Source organism: Homo sapiens, chromosome 17 (genome assembly GCF_000001405.40).
Source record: "Homo sapiens chromosome 17, GRCh38.p14 Primary Assembly".
Classification (NCBI taxonomy): Eukaryota; Metazoa; Chordata; class Mammalia; order Primates; family Hominidae; genus Homo; species Homo sapiens.
Window position 1 is genome coordinate 81036977 of NC_000017.11, and position 18328 is coordinate 81055304.

General features: G+C 59.8%; 1 protein-coding gene across 32 annotated transcripts in view, besides 7 other annotated features; it reads left to right on the forward strand.

Annotated features, from left to right (window-relative positions):
* BAIAP2 (BAR/IMD domain containing adaptor protein 2) overlaps positions 1-18328 on the forward strand; it is an 82284-nt gene that overhangs the window by 1826 nt on the left and 62130 nt on the right. For 31 of the 32 annotated variants that reach the window (NR_169579.1, NR_169574.1, NR_169577.1 and 28 more), the window contains one exon: positions 16692-16767. Coding sequence is in view for 25 of the 32 variants with exons in the window: in XM_011524193.2 (XP_011522495.1) it covers positions 16692-16767 (76 nt within the window). In the remaining 7 variants the exon portion in view is untranslated. Of the gene's footprint in view, positions 1-16691; positions 16794-18328 lie in introns of all 32 variants that reach the window. The other variant, NM_001385148.1, reaches the window with a different exon arrangement.
* Positions 38-590: an enhancer, noted in NCBI's record as "H3K4me1 hESC enhancer chr17:79010814-79011366 (GRCh37/hg19 assembly coordinates)". NCBI's record gives its function as "activates a minimal SCP1, AML or CMV promoter by ChIP-STARR-seq in naive H9 embryonic stem cells {active_cell/tissue: H9 hESC(naive)}" and the evidence as "EXISTENCE:reporter gene assay evidence [ECO:0000049][PMID:30033119]".
* Positions 2247-2798: an enhancer, noted in NCBI's record as "H3K4me1 hESC enhancer chr17:79013023-79013574 (GRCh37/hg19 assembly coordinates)". NCBI's record gives its function as "activates a minimal SCP1, AML or CMV promoter by ChIP-STARR-seq in primed H9 embryonic stem cells {active_cell/tissue: H9 hESC(primed)}" and the evidence as "EXISTENCE:reporter gene assay evidence [ECO:0000049][PMID:30033119]".
* Positions 6239-6784: an enhancer, noted in NCBI's record as "H3K27ac-H3K4me1 hESC enhancer chr17:79017015-79017560 (GRCh37/hg19 assembly coordinates)". NCBI's record gives its function as "activates a minimal SCP1, AML or CMV promoter by ChIP-STARR-seq in naive H9 embryonic stem cells {active_cell/tissue: H9 hESC(naive)}" and the evidence as "EXISTENCE:reporter gene assay evidence [ECO:0000049][PMID:30033119]".
* Positions 8967-9511: an enhancer, noted in NCBI's record as "H3K4me1 hESC enhancer chr17:79019743-79020287 (GRCh37/hg19 assembly coordinates)". NCBI's record gives its function as "activates a minimal SCP1, AML or CMV promoter by ChIP-STARR-seq in naive H9 embryonic stem cells {active_cell/tissue: H9 hESC(naive)}" and the evidence as "EXISTENCE:reporter gene assay evidence [ECO:0000049][PMID:30033119]".
* Positions 12521-12570: an enhancer, noted in NCBI's record as "active region_12954". NCBI's record gives its function as "activates an Ori minimal core promoter by ATAC-STARR-seq in GM12878 lymphoblastoid cells {active_cell/tissue: GM12878}" and the evidence as "EXISTENCE:reporter gene assay evidence [ECO:0000049][PMID:35858748]".
* Positions 14866-15674: an enhancer, noted in NCBI's record as "H3K27ac-H3K4me1 hESC enhancer chr17:79025642-79026450 (GRCh37/hg19 assembly coordinates)". NCBI's record gives its function as "activates a minimal SCP1, AML or CMV promoter by ChIP-STARR-seq in naive H9 embryonic stem cells {active_cell/tissue: H9 hESC(naive)}" and the evidence as "EXISTENCE:reporter gene assay evidence [ECO:0000049][PMID:30033119]".
* Positions 15675-16481: an enhancer, noted in NCBI's record as "H3K27ac-H3K4me1 hESC enhancer chr17:79026451-79027257 (GRCh37/hg19 assembly coordinates)". NCBI's record gives its function as "activates a minimal SCP1, AML or CMV promoter by ChIP-STARR-seq in primed H9 embryonic stem cells {active_cell/tissue: H9 hESC(primed)}" and the evidence as "EXISTENCE:reporter gene assay evidence [ECO:0000049][PMID:30033119]".

An 18328-nucleotide genomic window follows, 5' to 3' on the forward strand; every position in this document is an offset into this window, starting at 1 on the left:
GGTTTTGCTCTGGGGGACCGACCCCGTGATCGTCCTTAATAAAACTCTCCTAACCGGGCAGTAGGCCTTCACCTAGGTGAAGCTGTAATTTATCTGCAGGTCTAAGTGAAATCTGCTGGCAGGAAAACTCTTAGGACTGAGTGTTTGGGGACTTTGAGCCCCTGTGGACGCAGACCAGCTGGTCTGGAGCACGTGAAACACACAGGTTCTGCGTTTTGTCTTCCACGGGTGGGTTAATTGGTGATTTTCCCAAGTGAAGATGTGGCGGTTGATGATTTGATTTAGCACGGCAGGACGCGGTGGGCCGCAGGTGTCTGAAGGGTCGATCCACTCTGGAAAGGCTTTGCCCTGGTGACAGGCTTGCGCTGCTGCTGCTGCACACAGGCGGGGTTGGTTTTGTAGGTAGGTGGCTCCTGCTGCCACTCCGGGAGCCTGACTGCTGAGTCTTTGAGACCTTTTTGTGCTTTGTCACTGGGGAGCTCAAGGTGCCTTGGTAGTGCCGGTACTGGTTGGGCAGCTTTTGGCAATGTCAGCCAGGCAGAAACTCAGCCCACATGGAGACATAGTCAGGAGACCGCTGAGGCCACCGGTGTGCACTCCTGGGCCGGTCCAGCCGGTCCAGGCAGTGCTGAGCTCTGTCCTCTCCTGGGACGGTGCTGCCTCTGGCATCCCTTCCCGGGGCCGCTCCTGTGCCTGGGTTGGCGGCTTGCAGAGCCCTGGCAGTGCCTCTTGGAACGGCTGTGCTGTGGCCTGCTTAGTGTCACCCGCGATGCGGCTCAGCTGTTTGGTTTGGTTTGGACATTGCATCGCCTTAACTGCAGTTCTGAGTGGTGTTTGCCTTGGCAAAGGAGGACGCTTGTCCTTGGCCTTGGTGATTAAAAATGCGAGAATAAAAAGTGCAGTTTTGATTTTCTTCCCCGTAAGAATCCGTAACGCAGACTTTGACCTCTTTTCTGGTGGCTCCATTCCCTTGGGAGCTGTGTCCTCGGGGAATTTCATGGAAGATGAAGGGGAGGGGAGTGGAACGGCTTCCCGGTGTTTGCCGAGAACATAATCTCAGACCTTCTGGGGGCACTGCGTGGGCTGGGCCCTGCAGGTGTTGGGAGGGCAAGGCGCGGAAGACCCCTTCCTCCACAGGAGCCCGGGCCCAGCGCTTGCTCAGGTTGCCCTGGGTAGTGGCCCAGATGGAGGGATGGAGTGCTGGAATCTGCCTCCCCCGGTGGCCTTTGGAATTAAGGCTACTGAAGCTGCAGCCCTCTTGGGGAAGCCCCGTGCATCCCTGTGTGCTGAGGGGCTGGCTCCCTGGCTGGCTGTGTCTCCTGGAATGCCAGGAGAATGTCAGGTGGGTGTTTTCCTCAAGGTCTCGTGTCCGCAGAGAAGCCCTGGCTCCCAGGTGACCCATGACCTGGAGTGTGGCGGCTCCACCACCTTCTCTGGGCATAGTGCCATTGGCCCACAGCCTGTCCTAGAATATGTGAGGTTGAGAGAGCATCTGGGGAGGAGGAGGAGTCCCTGTTGCAGACGTGGCCATGGCCTTCCTTGTGCCGAGGCTCTTGGCCCTGGCTGGTCACTCTAGCAGCTGGTGGGGAAGCCAGCCTGGCGGGGCCGCAGCCGTGCTTCGAGGAGACGGGTGCCACAGGGTTCCTGGAGCCAGGAGCCAGTTGGGTTTGCCGCCTCTGGTGTGATTGGTAAGGGCTGGCGCCAGGTGGTGGGCGTCATGTGCTGGGTGGCAGGGAGCACACTGCCGGCTTTTCTGCTCCGTGCCCGGCTGCCCGGGCCTGGCTGTTCCTCTCTGCCACATCCAGCTTCTTCCTGGGGTGTGCAGAGCTCACCATCCCCTCCATTTGGAGACGGTGGGGGGTGGTCTCTGACAGGCACCTCCTGCTGACAGGCACCTCCTGGCATTGGAGTCGCCTTCCTGGGTGGGGGGGGCAGCAGACCCGGCACCTGAGGAGGAGAGAAATCACAGTGCTGGACCCAGCTCCGTGCGCGTGTACATGTGTATGTGTGTCCGTGTGTGCACACGTGCATGCAGTGCTTTGTGTTTAAGGATACTTCCTGGGGTGGCCCCCATGGGCACCATCTTGCCGCAGGGTGGCTGGGTCTGCTGTCACTGAGTAGACCTGGCCTGCATTTTCTCTACATGTGCATGTCTGTGTTACCCGCCCTCGCCACCGCCAGCCTTTAGCAGGGGGCACGTCTCCCAGGAGCAGTGCTGATGTGGTCCCCTTGGTGGGGTGGCCAGGGCACAAAGACCGGCTGCCGTGTCATGCTGCCCTCTGGGCTGCCCAGCCTGTGTGGGCTTTGGCCCCAGGCACTGTCCTGCCGGTTGTTGGCTCCAGGGTGTACAACCCTTCTGCTGGTGCTTGCTCAGCGTCCCATGCCTGCTGGCTCCAGGTGGCGTCCAGCGTTCGCTTGGTGTCCCATGCCTGCTGTGCCGTTGGTGGCTGCATGAAGTCCGTGTCTACCGATGGATGTGGCCAGGCGTTCTGGGATGTGGCGCTTGTGGAGTTGTGGGCTGCTTGGGGGAGAGTGTCCTGCCCGTGCCTGCTGTCCCCACAGCCTTGCCTTGAGCAAGTATTCTTCGTTGGGGAGATTGGTTGGCTCGTGGTACTGCCCGAGTGGACCTGAGGTTCAGGATTAAAGTGAAGGCTGGTGCTGCCCTGGGCTTTCAGGGGCCACCGTTAGATGGGAGGGCAGTGGGTGGGGGCTGCTGGGAGCTGTGTTCCTGTTGCTGCCTTGTCTTCGACTGAAGCTTCCAAAGGTGGAGACCTGAGGGCCAAGACCTGTCTGCTGGCTACAGGCACCATGGGCTGAACTGTCCAGGATAGGTGGTCTTGCAGGGGAGGGCTGGTGTGTGACCTGGCCATTGAATAGGAGGGGCCTGTCCTCCTTCCGAGCTCCAGGAGGCAGACTGGCCGGGAGGCTGAAGCCCGGTTCACCCTTCTCCCCAGTTCACAGGTCTGGGCCCTGGTCAGGGGAGCAACCCCAGCGTCACTGCAGGAGTGGCAGGTGGTGAGCAGAGCTGGACATCACCACTTGTCTCCACCCAGCCTTGCATGGCCCTCTCTGCCAGCTGCCCTGGGCTAGTGTTGCCTGTGGGTGCCACCATGGGTGGGGACACTCGCCACCGTCTGTGGAGGCGGGGTGCCACTGACTGCTGGTTGAGGCTGGCTCCTGTCCTTCCTTACATTGAGCCAGAGTCTGCCCTGTGTTGCCTTCCCAGCCACCTTGTCTGGTGACTTTCTTTGAGGCCCCAGGATAGGGAAGCATCTTTGTGGCTGCACAGAGCCCGTGGTCCCCTGGAAGCTCTGCACTTGGGCGGCCGGCGCCGTCAGCCGCCCCCCACAGCCTGCGCTAAGATCCCTAGTAATTACAGGCAGGCGGGGATGGTGCTGGCACCGGCCTCCAACGCACTTCCACCTCCCCCGAGCGCTGATTCATTCCTGGCCCCTGGCTGTGCCTGTACAGCTGCACAATGACTTGAGGGGCCTCAACCCAGAGGCAGAAAGGGAGGCCGAGAAGGGACCCGTTTGGCTCTGTGACTGCAAGGGCTTGATCTGTCCTGCCCACGGATTCCTCCTTTGGGCATGGAACGGCGGCCAGCCTGTGAGGGGCCCATCGGTATTTGGGAATGAACACATCTTGTTTCTGGATTCTGGAGCATTCATGCTTGAATCACTGTCCCGCCTTTGCTGAGGGTTTGCTCCCCGGGCGGTGGCCTGGGCCCTCTGAGAGCTCCCTGGAGGTGGTGGCAGCTCACACCACATGCAGTTGGAATCCCTGTTTCCCAGGGCTGTGGGCAGTGCAGGCTGAGGAGGTGGCCCTGGTGTGGGGCTGGCCTAGGCAGGCTGAGGGCTATTTCTCCTACTGTGGCCCAGGGGCTCTTGGTGTTGGTCCTGCAACAAGGGGACCAGAAAGCCCAGGGAGCAAGAGTGGAGGAGGCTGTGGAGATGGTGGGGAGGTAGGGCCTGAGCCCATGCTGTGCTGAGGAGTCCCCTCTAGGGGGCAGGAGGCTGGGGATCTGCCTCTGGCGGGGGCCCGTTTCTGCCTGTCAGGCACAGTGGCGCCCCCAGCACCTCCCTCAAGTTAACCCCCATCTGCCCCTGGTCTTTTTGACTCACGCTATAGAGCCTTGTCTGCTGGCTCTTGGTTTGGTCACCCCTGAGCTTTGGAAAATGCTGCCTGGTCCTTGGGCTTCCTGCCAGGCCTGCCGGGAGGAGTCTTGCCTGGCCAGTCCCCTGGCCATATGACCTTGGCCAAATCTTGCTCCCTGGGCAGTGGGTACAGCGGGCAGGATGCTCCCAGGGTCCCTGGAGGCTCTGGGGCCTGTCCCAGGTCAGGTGGCACCAGCCTTGGTATCCTCAGTGCTCTAGTCCTCACTCTGATGGGCAGGGGTGGGATGCACGCGGCACCATGAGATCTGATGTCCTGGGCCATGAGGTGCTGGGGACCCCTTGTTGGGGGAAAGGCTGTCAGTTACAACAGGGTGCTTTTGCTCTTGCTTAGAGTTTTTATTTTATACTTACTGGAACAGTTGTCTTATAATTGGGTAGTGTTTTTTCGTTTTTTGTTTGTTTTTTGTTTTTTCTGTTTTGTTTTTGTTTTGTTTTTGGAGACGGAGTTTTGCTCTTGTTGCCCAGGCTGGAGTGCAGTGGCGTGATCTCGGCTCACTGCAACCTCCGCCTCCCGGGTTCAGGTGATTCTCCTGCCCCAGCCTCCCAAGTAGCTGGGATTACAGGCATGCGCCACCACGCCTGGCTAATTTTATATTTAGTAGAGGTGGGATTTTTCCATGTTCGTCAGGCTGGTCTCGAACTCCCAACCTCAGGTGATCCACCCACCTCGGGCTCCCAAAGTGCTGGGATTACAGGCATGAGCCACTGCGCCTGGCCCTGTTTGGGTAGATTTTTCAATAATCATATATTGAATTCATGTGAAGTAAATTGGTAGGGTTTTCTTAAAACTTATTTTTCATGAAGAGTTTGACTTCTGAGTCACATTTCAGCTCTGGGCTGTCAGTGTGCTTGTCCACTGGGCACCTGCCCCTGAGCCGTCAGGGGTGCCAATGCCAGAACACCTCCTGAGTATGTCTCTGAGATTTTCTTCCAAGCCCCTGCTCTTCCATTTTTGTTACTGGCACTTTTTTTTTTCTTTTCTTTTTTCTTTTTTTTTTTTTTTTGGAGACAGAGTCTTGCTTTGTTTCCCAGCCCGGAAGGCAATGGTGTGATCTCACCTCAACTGCAGCCTGAAACTCCTAGGCTTATACAGTCCTCCTGCCTCAGCCACCTGAGTAGCTAGGACCACAGGCGTGCCCCACCTGTGTGCCTGGCTAATTTTTTTTTTTATTTTAATTTTTGGTAGAGATGAGGTCTTGCTATGTTGCCCAGGCTGGTCTTGAACTCCTAGGCTCAAGCAGTCCTCCCACCTTGGCCTCCCAAAGTGCTGGGATTACATGTGTGAGCAAACGCACCCTGGTGCTTTCTTGATCAGCAGGTTTTCAGACAACGGCCAGGCCTCCTGTTCCTTCTTCGGATGGTCCTTATGTGTTTTGTACACTGAGCTGTCCAGGCGTGCCCCTGCCTGGTTGTGGCAGGGGACAGTCAGCAGGTGGGCCATGCCAGGTGACCGCCTGCTTGTCATGGCTGCCCCAGTGGGAGTCGCAGGACGTGAATGGTGGAATGCGCTGGGGTAGCACAGGTGCCTGTGCCGGAAAACAGCGACATCTTGACATTAGAATGGGGGTGGGGATGGTGGTGGGGGAGAGGGTGTCCCCTAGCCGCAGGAGCTGGAATCTGTCCAGTAGAGGGTTTGTCTCACCCAGAGCCAAGCTTGGTCTGGGTGGATGCTGCTAGTGGCGGGCAGAGTGGCCTTGCTGCTTCCAGGCGGGGCTTTTATTTTAATTTAATTTAATTTAATTTATTTAAGACAGAGTCTTGTTCTGTCACCCAGGCTGGAGTGCAGTGGTGTGACCTTGGCTTACTGCAGCCTCTGCCTCCTGGGCTCAAGCAATTCCAAGAAGCTGGGATTACAGGTGTGCGCCACCACACTGGCTAATTTTAGTATTTTTAGTAGAGATGGGGTTTCACCATGTTGCCCAGGCTGGTCTTTAACACCTGGGGTCAAATGATCCTCCCACCTCGGCCTCCCAGAGTGCTGGGATTACAGGCGTGAGCCACTGCATCCGGTCTAGGTGGGGCTTTTAAACCAGTGGGTGTGGTGGAGGCCGAGATGCCACCACCTGAAATGAAGTGGACCTGGGTCCCCCCATACCCGTTTTTCCAGCCCCCTCTTCCGTGGCCGACTATGTCTGCCAGAGGAGGCCTGTGTCCATCTCCATTTGCCCCACCACGGAAAGCCCGTCCTCACGCAGTCCAGGCATGGATGGAGCATCAGCCTCCACCTGTCCTGCTCCTGGGCTGAGACTCCAGGGCCTCGGTGGCCCCAGGCCGTGGAGCAGAGCTGTGGGCTGCGGTCCGACCGGTGGCAGGAGTCCCATCTAGGGATGTGGCTGTGAAGCTGGGGTGCTGGGGCCTGGGCGGTGTCACTGCTGTCTCATGCTCTGGCTCTGGGGACGGCTGGGCCCACAGCGTCCTGGCACCCGGGAGGCCCTGTCACTGCTCACACTGGAGCGTCCTGGCACCCGGGAGGCCCTGCCACTGTGCACACCGGACACTGCGCTGGACATTCTCTGTGCTCAGCCTCGTTACTGTTGCTTCGTGTGCGGGTCCTGGGTGTCCCTGCCTGACAGGGGATCCTCGGTTCAGGGAGAAGTGTGTCCCCGCCCGTAAGCTGGAGTGGCTGAGCTCATTGAAACTGCAGAGCCAACTCCAGGGCCCTCTGGCTCTCCAGCCGCGCGTCTGTCCTTCCGTTCGGGAGTTCGAGGAGTTCAGGAAGGCGTTCTCGCCGCGGGGTCTCTGTTTTCTCATTAATTCAGTGAGACGATAGCGTATTTCCTGGCACAGAGAGTACTGGGTAAGTGGTGGCCACGATCGCTAGCTTGTGGGACAGAAAGTTCTTCAGAGATCAGAGGTCAGTGGTCCAGAGCAGGAAAGCCCCGCCCCGAAGCTGCTTGCCACTGTCTGCTTTCCTGGGATCCTGTGTTCCTGAGTGTGGCCACAGCCCCCGGGCTGGCACCTCCCACCTGCCTGACCTGAGGTTGGCGGGAGGTGGGGCCGTACAGGCATTCCTAAGCTGCCTCCCTGCTTGCTCAGCCACGGTTGCTCCTCCAGCCGTGAGCCCAGCCCGAAAGACCGGCCAGTGCCTTCACAGGGAGGGGATGGATGGGGCAGCGGCCTCGGGGATTCTTGCAGGCCAGGCGGTGACCAGACTTGGGTCTGCGATTGGCGGTAATGAGTGACCTAGTGACCGGGCCTTTCCACGTTGGAGGGGGACCAACACGGCGCCACAGACTGGTGTGCCCACAGGACGGCCGTGGCACCTGGCTCGTCCCTATGTTATCTGTGCCCTCTTTCTTGTAAGGCGCTGGTCCTATGGGATTAGGGCCCGCCCTAGTGACCCCAGTTACTTTTATCGCCTTCCTAAAGACCCTGTTTCCAAACACAGTTGCACTGCGCGATGCCGGGGCTTAGAACTTCAACACGTGCATCTTGGGAGGGGACACAGTTCAGCCGTGACACCCAGCGGACCCCACCCGTGACGGAGTGCAGTAGCTGCTGGAGGGGCCGAGTCTCCCATGTTGCCTGGAGGTGACCACCTGTCTGTCTTCAGGCTGATTGTATTACGAGCCTATGATGGTTTTCCCTTCCAACCTCAGTCAGATCGCAGCCCGCAGTTTATGACAACAGGAAGGTTTCCACGGGGACAGCTGATTCTATTGGACGAGCAGTCAGCTGGCAAGGCGCCAGCTCAGTGCTGGCCACAGGCGAAAGGCAGCCGGAATGCACCGTCCCGTGTGGGCCGGACACCCCGTGAGGCTGAGCAGTTGCTAAGTTCTGTGACCCGGGCCAGGGTGGCTGGACATTGGAAGGTGTGTGTAAGGGGCTCTGTCCCCATTGAAGCTGGGATAGGCAGGATGTGCCTCTCGGACAGGAAGGAAGTGGCCAGACTGCTTGGTGCTGTGTTTGGACTTTGCTGGGCTGCGGCTCCTCCTGCGTGGGCCGGGTCATGGTGTCCTGCGTGCAAGGCCCCACGTGTGGCTTTTGCCCTTGTGGACCTCTGCTCCTTGGGACCTCGTTCAGGAGGGCTCAGACTTGGGGCCCCTGAGAGTTGAGGACGCCAGGGGAAAGCTCGCAGAGGGCGTGCAGGTGTCCAAGGCCCATGGAAAGGGAGATGCTGCTGCAACCCTGAAAGGGAAGCAGGGCCCCAGGCTGGGGCTGGGGGCCCAGGGGAATGGCCGTGTGGCCCTTCCCACAGGCGGAGGGCAGAAGCGCCTGGCTCAGGAGCTGACCTTAGTGTTGGCATTTGTCCCTGTTGTTTTTAGCTGCAGCATTCATGGTCCCTGTCCTGGGACCTCCCAGGAGCCTGGCGGGTAGGGCAGGCAGCATGAGGGAAGGAGTCCCTGCACCTCGGGCCCCTCCTGGCGGGAGGCCACCTGCTCCTGGTCATATCTGGGCACCGTGCCAAAGACACAAGGAATCACTTTATTATGATGTGGATGGCTTTTCTGTGGGTGCTCCTGGAGGCTGAGAACTGGAGCTACCACCTTAGGGGACATCCCAGCCCCTCACGCTGATCCCACCATGACCCATGGCCAGGCTGCCCAGGGCCCTGCAGGAGTCCCTGGTATGCGTGGGACCTGGGTGTCTCCCTTCGGTCTTCCAGGAGGGGCTGGGGTGTGCCCTCCATCTGTCTGATCTGAGTGGCTCTGGGGGAGTCTGGGTCAGCCAGGCCACGCCGAAGCTGCCCTTGGAGAAGCCTAGTGGCCCCTCCTGACCCCCCGGGGAAGGGTGGGGGACCAGCCCCCTCTGTTGTGGAACAGGCTGGCCTCTTCCTGCCTCCAGAGAGGTGCCTGCTTCCTGACACCCAGAGCCCTCTGCGGGGTCTCATGGCCTGGGGGGGCTCATGGTGGGGGCCCCTGGCACGGCAGAGGGGTTTGGCCACCCAGTTTTCTTCTCCCCTCGGCTGTGGGGACCCTATTAATACTCACAGGGAGGCAGAGCTGCCGGCTCCTGCACGCCCAGCTGCAGGGGGTAAGGAGGAGGATGGTGTCTCTGCCTGGTTTGTCACCGTCCCCCTTGGGATCCCGTTCTGCAGGCTCCAGCCCACCTTCAGGCCCCCGTCCTAACCCTGCGCGCCGTTTCCTCCCAGAAACTTCCATGCATCCCCTCGTTTCCTAAATCCGTGTACATGTGTTTGTAGTTTGTCTCCGACTCAAACCAAGTAAGATGCAGTTCAAGATCTGCCTCCTCCAGGCAGCCCTCCCAGCTGTGCTCCTGGAGTTGGTTTTCTTCCTTCAGGAAGGATCCTCCAGGACAGATGTCCAAGTGTTTAGAGGGGACAGGACTGTCCACACCACTCCAGCCAGGCTTCCTTCACACCCCCACAGCCCCCACTCCTCTTGCCCTGTGAGCCAGCTCCCAGGCTCTGGAGCTCATCGGTGCTCCTGTGTGTGGGGTCAGCAGTGGCCCGCCCTGGAGGACGCTGCCACCTTCCCGATGCTCTCTGCCCACAGAAGTCCCCCAACCCCCCTGGCAGCCAAGGGAACTGAGCCTGTGGCCCCCGGACAGCAAGCTCTGAGGTGTCCTCCCGCGAGGACACTGTCCACTGCTGCAGGGCCCCTCCTGTACCTCCCTAGTCCATGCTGTACATGTGGCCGGGGGTTTCCAGGCTTGGCTCTGTCCCGTGCGCCCTTCCCTGGAGCCTGGCATCCTAGGCAGAGTCCCGTCAAGTCTACGTGGACCAGAGTCGTGGGTGCTGTGAGGTCCGTGTCTGTGTGTGGGGTCCTCATGCTGTGGCTGTGGTGGCACAGCGGGCTGGGGGAAGCCCCTCTGGCACTGCCGGCCCCGCAGCTGCCACCGGCTTCTGCCTGTCGCGACAGAGGTGGAAGTGAGGGCGGTGGTCCAGTGGGCAACAGCGGCCTGGCCCCTCAGGAGCTGTGCTGGTCCGTGGGCGAGGGAGTGGGTGGGCAGGGCCCCTCCCCTCAACAGTCAGCCACCCTGGGCATTGGCCCTCCTGGGAGAGGCCAGGTGGATCGAGTCACCCTTTTTCCTGATATTACTGGAATGTGGCCTTTGGGAGCATGTCAGGTGCAACACCAGGACCAATTGGGAGAGAGGGACCGGGCTGGCTGTGTGGTCAGCAGGGTTGAAGCCAGGACTCTGGGCTCCACCAAGAGCTGACAGGCTGGCCCCTGCCTTCCTGAGCCTCACTTTCATCTTGTCCAGTGTAAGATGGGACAGTGACTCTCATGGAGGGGCTGGGTGAGGATTAGGGTGATGAGGGTCTAAGGCAGCCGGAGAGGGTCCTAGCATCGACTCTTTCTCTGTTTGTTCTTCTGAGTAGATAGAAAACACGGCTCAGCCTGGCCACACACAGACACATGTAGCACACACACAGGTCCACGTGTGTCCAGCACACGCATGAGTGCACATGCACAGGTAAACACGTTCATGCCCACAGCACACACATGGGTCCAGCTCATGCCCACAGCACACACGGGTCCACGTGTGTCCAGCACACGTGTGAGTGTACACGCACAGGTAAACACGCAGCTCATGCTCATAGCACACACACAGGTCCATCTCATGCCCACAGCACACGCACGGGTCCACATGCGTCCAGCACATGTGTGAGTGTGCATGCACAAGTAAACATGCAGCTCATGCCCACAGCACACACACAGGCCCAGCTCATGCCCACAGCACACACAGGGGTCCACATGCATCTAGCACACTCGTGAGTGTACATGCACAGGTAAACGCATGCAGCACATGGCCGCAGCACACACACGGATATATGTGCATGCATGGGTCCATATGCACGCAGGCCCTAGGGGTGTGGCCATACGCGCCCACCCTGGCATCTGCCTTGAGGGGCTGGAGGGAGGTGGGGGACACTCTCTGTCAGCAGAGAGACTGCTTTTGTTTGTGGCCATCCTGCCAGGAAAGCGCTGGAGAGGCGGCCAGCGTCACAGGAAGGAGAGCCAAGGGATAAACAGAATTCCTGGCCGGGAGCAGTGGCTCTCGCCTGTAATCCCAGCACTTTGGGAGGCTGAGGCGGGCGGATCGCTTGAGGTCGGGAGTTCGAGACTAGCCTGGCCAACATGGTGAAACCCCGTCTCTACTGAAATACAAAAATTAGCTGGGTGTGGTGGTGCACACCTGTAATCCCAGCTGCTCAGGAGGCTGAGGCAGGAGAATCACTTGCTGAGAATGCACCACTGCACTCCAGCCTGGGCGACAGAGCAAGACTCTGTCTCAAAAAAAAAAAAAAAAAAAAAAAAGAATTCCTGAGCAGACGGAAGGTGGACCCCAGCACGGCCCAGGAGTGGGCAGGAGAGCAAAGTCCTTTGGCAGAGGTCCTTTCTGTAAATGTACTGGCCACTCTCCCTTTGTTCCCCAAGTTGGGAGGAGGTGGAGATGACGGGGGTTTTGCTGCTGCCTTGTGCCCACACTGGCCAGGCCGGCCCGTAGCACTGAATCATAATGGCCATCAGTCTCCAGGCTGGCCAGCAGTGTCCAGCAGCTCGCCAGCCAAAAGGGCTCCCTGGGCTCATCAATGTTCTCTGACGGCCACCTCTGCAACTGATGGACACGGCCCTCCCATTTGTACCTTCAGAAATGCATAGCTGGGGTCCCTGGGGGCTGTAGTAGGGACAGCTAGGGTCCCTGCTGTGGTCAAGGCCTGGATTCCATGCGACTCCAGGGCCACTGGGACATCCGTCTCTGTGGACGTCCCAGCAGGAGGGCAGCCAAGCGTGCGGGCATCCCTGGGCAGGGACCCCTCCTCTCCCGGCACTTCGCGGCATGCGTCCTATGAGGGGAAGCCTTCCATGGCGTGTGTGGGAGCCCCTCGTGGGCCGGACCGCCTTCATGGGCAGGACCCCCTTCATAGGCAGGCCGGCCCAGGACCCCCCCTGGGGTGGGAAAGGTGTTCCCTGGTCAATAGTGAATGAACAAACGAGGAACTGGAAGTCCGTGCCGGCCCGGGAACGCGGCCCAGGGAGCCAGTGCGTGGTCGCCGGGGGCACAGCAGAGCTCTGCACGCGCCGGGCTGCGTTTGTACTGCACAGGTCCTGGAGTTTGAGGAGTGTGGTGGTTGCTCATGGTGTAGGATTTCTGTCCTGGCAGGGGGGCATGGGGTCACAGAACGTGGGCCCCTGGGGAGCTCTCTCTGTGCCTGTGGCCCCCCAGGAGTCTCTCAGTTTTGCTGTGGTCTTGAGGATGGCACAGCGTGTCCCTGAGCGCCCTCAGTGTGGACAGCTGGGCTTCAAACTCACTTCAGAGCCGCCGTGTGGGGGTGGCGCCTCTGAGGGCTTGAGGTTATTTTCTTGTGCGGTTTCTCTCTCCTGGCCTAGGTTTTTCTGGGTTTTTTGCACCTCTTGGTGTTGATAAGAAACAAGCTCCCTTCCCCTTTTAAAGCCCACAGACTTTCCCGATCTCCTCCCCATCCCCTGCCCCAGCACTGTCAGGGCGTCTGGGCGTCTGAGCTCAGCTCCTTCCTGGTGGCATCCTGCAAAAAGATACACTCGCTCAGTGACTCGGAAAAGCCACGTCGGTGTGGCTGAGAACAGAGTTCTTTCCACCTGGGGCCGCTGCTGTTGGTTTTCATTCCGGAAGAGCTGGAGCTGCCTGTCACTGGCTCCCCTGCCCCCACCTGGGGACCCCCAGGCACTGCAAAGTGCCTGTTGGCTATGGGCCCCCGGACCAGGACCTTGGCCTGATTAGGGGAGCCGGAGGTGGAAGTGGAGGCGGGACTGGAGTGTATGCCCCACAGTGGGCTCTCCTCAGGCTGGGGACTTCCACACGGGCCCACTGGGTCAGGATGGCCCGTGCCTGTGTTCTAGGATAATGGGATGGACTGGTTCGGAGGCTCAGAGAGACGCCTGACCAGACGCCTGACTGGAGATGGTCTCCCAGCAGAGGGGCTGGGCTCTTCAGGGGCCACTGGGCTCCTCCCGTGGTTCCTGGGAGAGGGAGGAACCCGGAGGAGGGGTGGGTGGCACCTACAGTGCGTGCCTGAGGCAGGGCTCCACAGAAGGCCTCTCTGCTGGCCCAGCGGCTGGATGCAGATGCAGAAGGAGGAACTGGCCCTTCCGCCCGCCCGGGAAGGGGAGTCCCCCCTTACAATGTTGGCTCAGTGGGATCGATGCCTCTGCCATTGCCTTCGGGCCAGGACAGCAGCACTTGCGTGTCCCGGCCGCCGCCCCTCTCTTGCAGATGGAGGCAGGGCCGTGCCCAGGTGTCCTGGTGGCTGTTCCCTGCCCGCTGTCTCCTGCATTCCTTCCGTGTGAGCTCAGCTGCTGCACTAAGGAAGCGAAACCTTGGTGCTGCCCCGTGCGTCATGCGGTAGGCATGGCCGCCGTGCTGACCCGCCGTGGTTGGCCCTGGGTGGCTCCTGGCCTGTTTCTCCTGCTGCTCAGGATGTTAGTGGAGCTCACAGGGCTCAGGTTGAGCCTCTTCCACCCGGGGGCCTGTGGGGGTCATGGTCCTGGAGCCAAGCGCGTGGGGCTCTTGTGAGCAAGGGGTCTGCTCTGGCACGCCCACCTCCGTGGTAGTGTTTTCATACCTGTGTCACACAGGGTGAGAAACATGCTTGATGCTGCAGCTCAGCACACACACGCACACAAATGTGCACATGCACACGTGGACACACATGCACACATGCATGTGTGTATGCACACATGGGCACAGATGTGCATGCAGACATGAGCACACGCACACCAGAACACTAGAGTCGGCCGCATCCTCCTCACTTGGCTGATGCCCCCTTCTGCTTGATTTCATCACAAGAAACGCGCATCCGGCAGCATTTCCCGACCGCCTTCACCGCCAGTCCCGGTCTGCATGGTCAGTTTGAACCAGGCTGCCGAGAGCGCACCAGGTCCCAGCATTCTCCTCTCTGCTGGTAACTCTTCAGGCATTGTCTCTGGCTCACGTTCTCCTGGGCGCCAGACCTATCTCACCCCACTCCCGGTGTGGCCTCCCTGCCCCGGCTCCCAGGCACTCCTGGGAGTTAAAGTGTCCAGGCTCCTGGTTCATTGCTGAGTGTTTAGCTCAGTGCTAACGCTGCTGTGCTCCAGCATCCCCGTCCCTTTAGGACAGAGGCCTGCGTGGTACGTGCCTCTCTGCTCCAGCATCCCCGTCCCTTTAGATCAGAGGCCTGCGTAGCACATGCCTCTCTTCCCCTCTGACATCCCAGAGCCTCTGATGGGTCTCCCAGCATACGCCAGGGCCCTTGGCTAAAATCTAGTCTCCTCTGAGCAGCCAGAGGGATCTTCTCTTTTGTTTGTTTTGTTTTTTTGTATTTATGTATTTTTTTGAGACAGAGTCTCACTCTGTTGCCAGGCTGGAGTGCAGTGGCGCAATCTCAGCTCACCACAATTTCCGCCTCCCAGGTTCAAGCGATTCTCCTGCCTCAGGCTCCCAAGTAGCTGGGATTACAGGCGTCTGCCACCAAGCCCGGCTTTTTGTATTTTTAGTAGAAATGGGGTTTCACCACGTTGGCCAGGATGGTCTCCATCTGACCTCGTGATCCGCCTGCCTTGGCCTCCCAAAGCGTTGGGATTACGAGCGTGAGCCACCGTGTCCGGCCTGTTTTATTTTTTTTAGAGACAGGGTCTCACTCTGTCACCCAGGCTGGAGTACAATGGCACAATCACAGTTCACTGCAGCTTTGACCTTCCAGGCTTAAGCAATCCTCCCACCTCAGCCTCCTGAGTAGCTGGGACTACAGGCATGCACCACCACACCCAGCTAATTTTTAAATTTTTAGTAGAGATGGGGTCTTACCACGTTGCCCAGGCCGGTCTTGAACGCTTGGGCTCAAGTGATCTTCCCGCCTCTGCCTCCCAAAATGCTGGGATTATACGTGCGAGCCACCGCATCTGACCCAGCGGAATCTCTTAAATGTAGCTGGCCCATCGTTCTGCTCAGACCCTCCTTAGCTTCATGCAGCCGGGCCTCAGGGGCTATCCCATTAGCACATCCACCTCTTCCTCTTCCTGCCTCCCCTGGGCCCCTTCCACCCTCACGCCGGGTCCTGCTTTCCCAGGAACTCACCATGGGCCCTGCCTCGGGGCCTTTGCCCTGCCCTGGTCTGCCCACTGCTCTCTGGCATGGAAAGTGCTTCCCTGCCTGCCTTCCACGTCTCGCTGAGCACGCCTATCCCACTTCTGCGGAAGCGCTGGCCCTCCTAGTCCTGCCTTCCCTCGGGAGATGTTGGCTCTGTGCGAGCAGGGCTTTGCGGCTGGGTCGATGCTGCATCCCCCACCCCCGTGCACGTGGCCTCTGGGCTAGCACGCAAAGGCGCCCTCACCCTTGCTGCGTCCTGGAAGGAAGGAGCACCTGCCCTGGAACTTGGCCGGGTGGCGTTACCACCGGAGGGTCCAGTATAGGCAGGACTGAGGTGTACCCGGCCTGCTGTGAGCCCCGGCGTAGTGCAGAACTCGGGGCCTCGTTTCCCAAGAACACACACCCTGGCCATACCTCAGGGCAGGGGATGGAACACTCGTCAAATAGCGGGTTTTCTGGAGGCAGGTCCCGTGGTGGGGAGTGGCTTCCTTGTCCCTAAATGCCCTTTCTATCTGTTCTCTTGGCTTCGGAGGCTGAGGCCAGGTGCTGGGAGAGGGGGTGGGGGATGCAGTTGCCCTTCCCTCCCCACTCTCTAGCCCACAGGTTGGGGCTGGGTGGGTTGGGGCCCCACAGCCTCCTGCTTGTCTGCGACAGGGCTGGGCGGCTTCCCTTCCTGTGATCCTCAGGAAAGATCAGGATCACATCATAACAAATGACCGGAAGACACGGGAGGTGGCTGAGCTGGGGGTTTCTGCTGGAGCTGCTCCCTGGGCCCTTGCTGGCAGGGGCTGGCTGTTGACAGTCAGTGTATGTTATGCCGGTAGAATTCTCATTTGGCTGTTGTTTGTGTGTGCCTGTTTTTATCCCTTGTAATTAAAACATTTATTTGGCCTTCGCAGTGAAAATCTAATTTCTTGAGTCTAAGAACTGCTGATCTTGGCACCGAGATGCCCGTCCGTCGGGCAAACAGACCCAGAGCCGTTGGATTATTCATAGCACGGCATCTGCAGATCAGGCTGCAGTGGTGCTAATCAGAGCTGAGGTTTGGTAATTGATGTGTTGAGCAGGATTTTAGTGGGAGGGGGGTGCCGGCGTCGTTGAGCGATTGTGTATGGCCGGTGGGGGGCCCTTCTGGGCTGACTCAGCCGCGCCAATGGGAACGGCACCTCGGCAGCGGCGCGTCTGAGCGCCAGTTGTATTCTGCCTGCTGCACCATGCAAATGCGCTCCTTCAGCCCGCAGACACTCCTCTGCGGCCGGGTTTCTTCTTACCCCCTTTGCACAGGTGTGAAAACCGAGGCTCAGGAAGGTCATTTTCCCAAGGACATTGATCAGGGGCATGGCTGGGATTTGAACTTGGGAAGCCCACCTTGAGCATTTGTGGTGTCGACCCCCAGGAGGGGTGCCTGCTCTGGGTTTTCTCCTCTGTGTTCGGACCCTTCGGAGTCACCAGGGTGACCTCTGCCAGTAATGCTGTTTCTTCTCTGCTTTCTTCCAGACCATCATGGAGCAGTTCAACCCTAGCCTCCGGAACTTCATCGCCATGGGGAAGAATTACGAGAAGGCACTGGCAGGTGGAACTGCGCCCGGGCCCCGTGGGGTGGGAGCTGCCTCCTGAGCTGGTAGAACTGCGCCCGGGCCCCGTGGGGTGGGAGCTGCCTCCTGAGCTGGTAGAACTGTGCCCGGGCCCCGTGGGGTGGGAGCTGCCTCCTGAGCTGGTAGAACTGTGCCCGGGCCCCGTGGGGTGGGAGCTGCCTCCTGAGCTGGTAGAACTGTGCCCGGGCCCCTTGGGGTGGGAGCTGCCTCCTGAGCTGGTAGAACTGTGCCCTGGCCCCAAGGGTGGGAGCTGCCTCCTGAGCTGGTAGAACTGTGCCCGGGCCCCGTGGGGTGGGAGCTGCCTCCTGAGCTGGTAGAACTGTGCCCTGGCCCCAAGGGTGGGAGCTGCCTCCTGAGCTGGTAGAACTGTGCCCGGACCCCGTGGGGTGGGAGCTGCCTCCTGAGCTGGTAGAACTGTGCCCGGGCCCCGTGGGGTGGGAGCTGCCTCCTGAGCTGGTAGAACTGTGCCCGGGCCCCTTGGGGTGGGAGCTGCCTCCTGAGCTGGTAGAACTGTGCCCTGGCCCCAAGGGTGGGAGCTGCCTCCTGAGCTGGTAGAACTGTGCCCGGGCCCCGTGGGGTGGGAGCTGCCTCCTGAGCTGGCAGATGGACTTGGGCACAGCCTGTGGGGCCTGGTCAGGAGCGAAAGGAGGTCTTCTGTTCCAGCAACAAAGCTGGACAGCGGCTCTGAGTGAAGGTGTAGCCCATGCATTCTGGACTGGGTCTGCTGTCACTGTGGCAGCACGCCCCTGCCTGTGCGGGCTGCTCTTGTCCTGTGGCATCTAGAGACGGGAGGGGTGCGGATGTCAGTCCCTCAGGATCATGTAGAAACTGTGGGATCAGGGCTGGGATGAAGCTGTTGGTAACTGCAGCAGCTTCGGGTTTGAGAAATGAGCGAACGCCCTGCAGCTCCTTCTCACAAAGAGCCGGGACAGAGGGTGTGGGGGACTGGTGGCTGCAGGGACATTCCATTCTTCCCACTGTCTCCCTGAGACGCTTCCCATCGCCCCCACCCCACCCAGGCACTCCACTGCGGGGCCTTGGGTGCACCTGGGTCTTTCCGTCCTGGTGGGGAGTGGCTTCCTTGTCGCCAGATGCCCTTCTCACCTGCCCTGTTGGCCCCGCAGGTGCCCTTGGCTGAGTCCTGCCATGGATGGGGACTTGCTATTCTTGGACAGTGACCCCCGGTCTCCCTGTACCCTCTACCGTGTCTGTCCCTGTAACTGCAGCATCTTCATGGGCAGAGTCCACATCCCCAGCAGGGAGGAGATCGTGTGTTTTCCGGGACACGTGCTGCGTCTCTGCCGGCGCCCCCGGCTCCTCCACCGCTTCCTGGTGTTGCGGCACCCATGGGTTGGGTGGAGTTGGTTGTCCAGTTTTGGTGCCAGGTTAGAGGTGTCAAGGACGGGGCAGGAGTTGGTCAGCCCTCGTTCCTTTTTTACCACCTTTACTCCGTTGTCACCTGGGGAGAAAGCACTCCAACCGAGCACCTGGCAGAAGGCCTGTCCCTGGCACTGCCCTCCTTCTCAGCTCCCCAGGTGG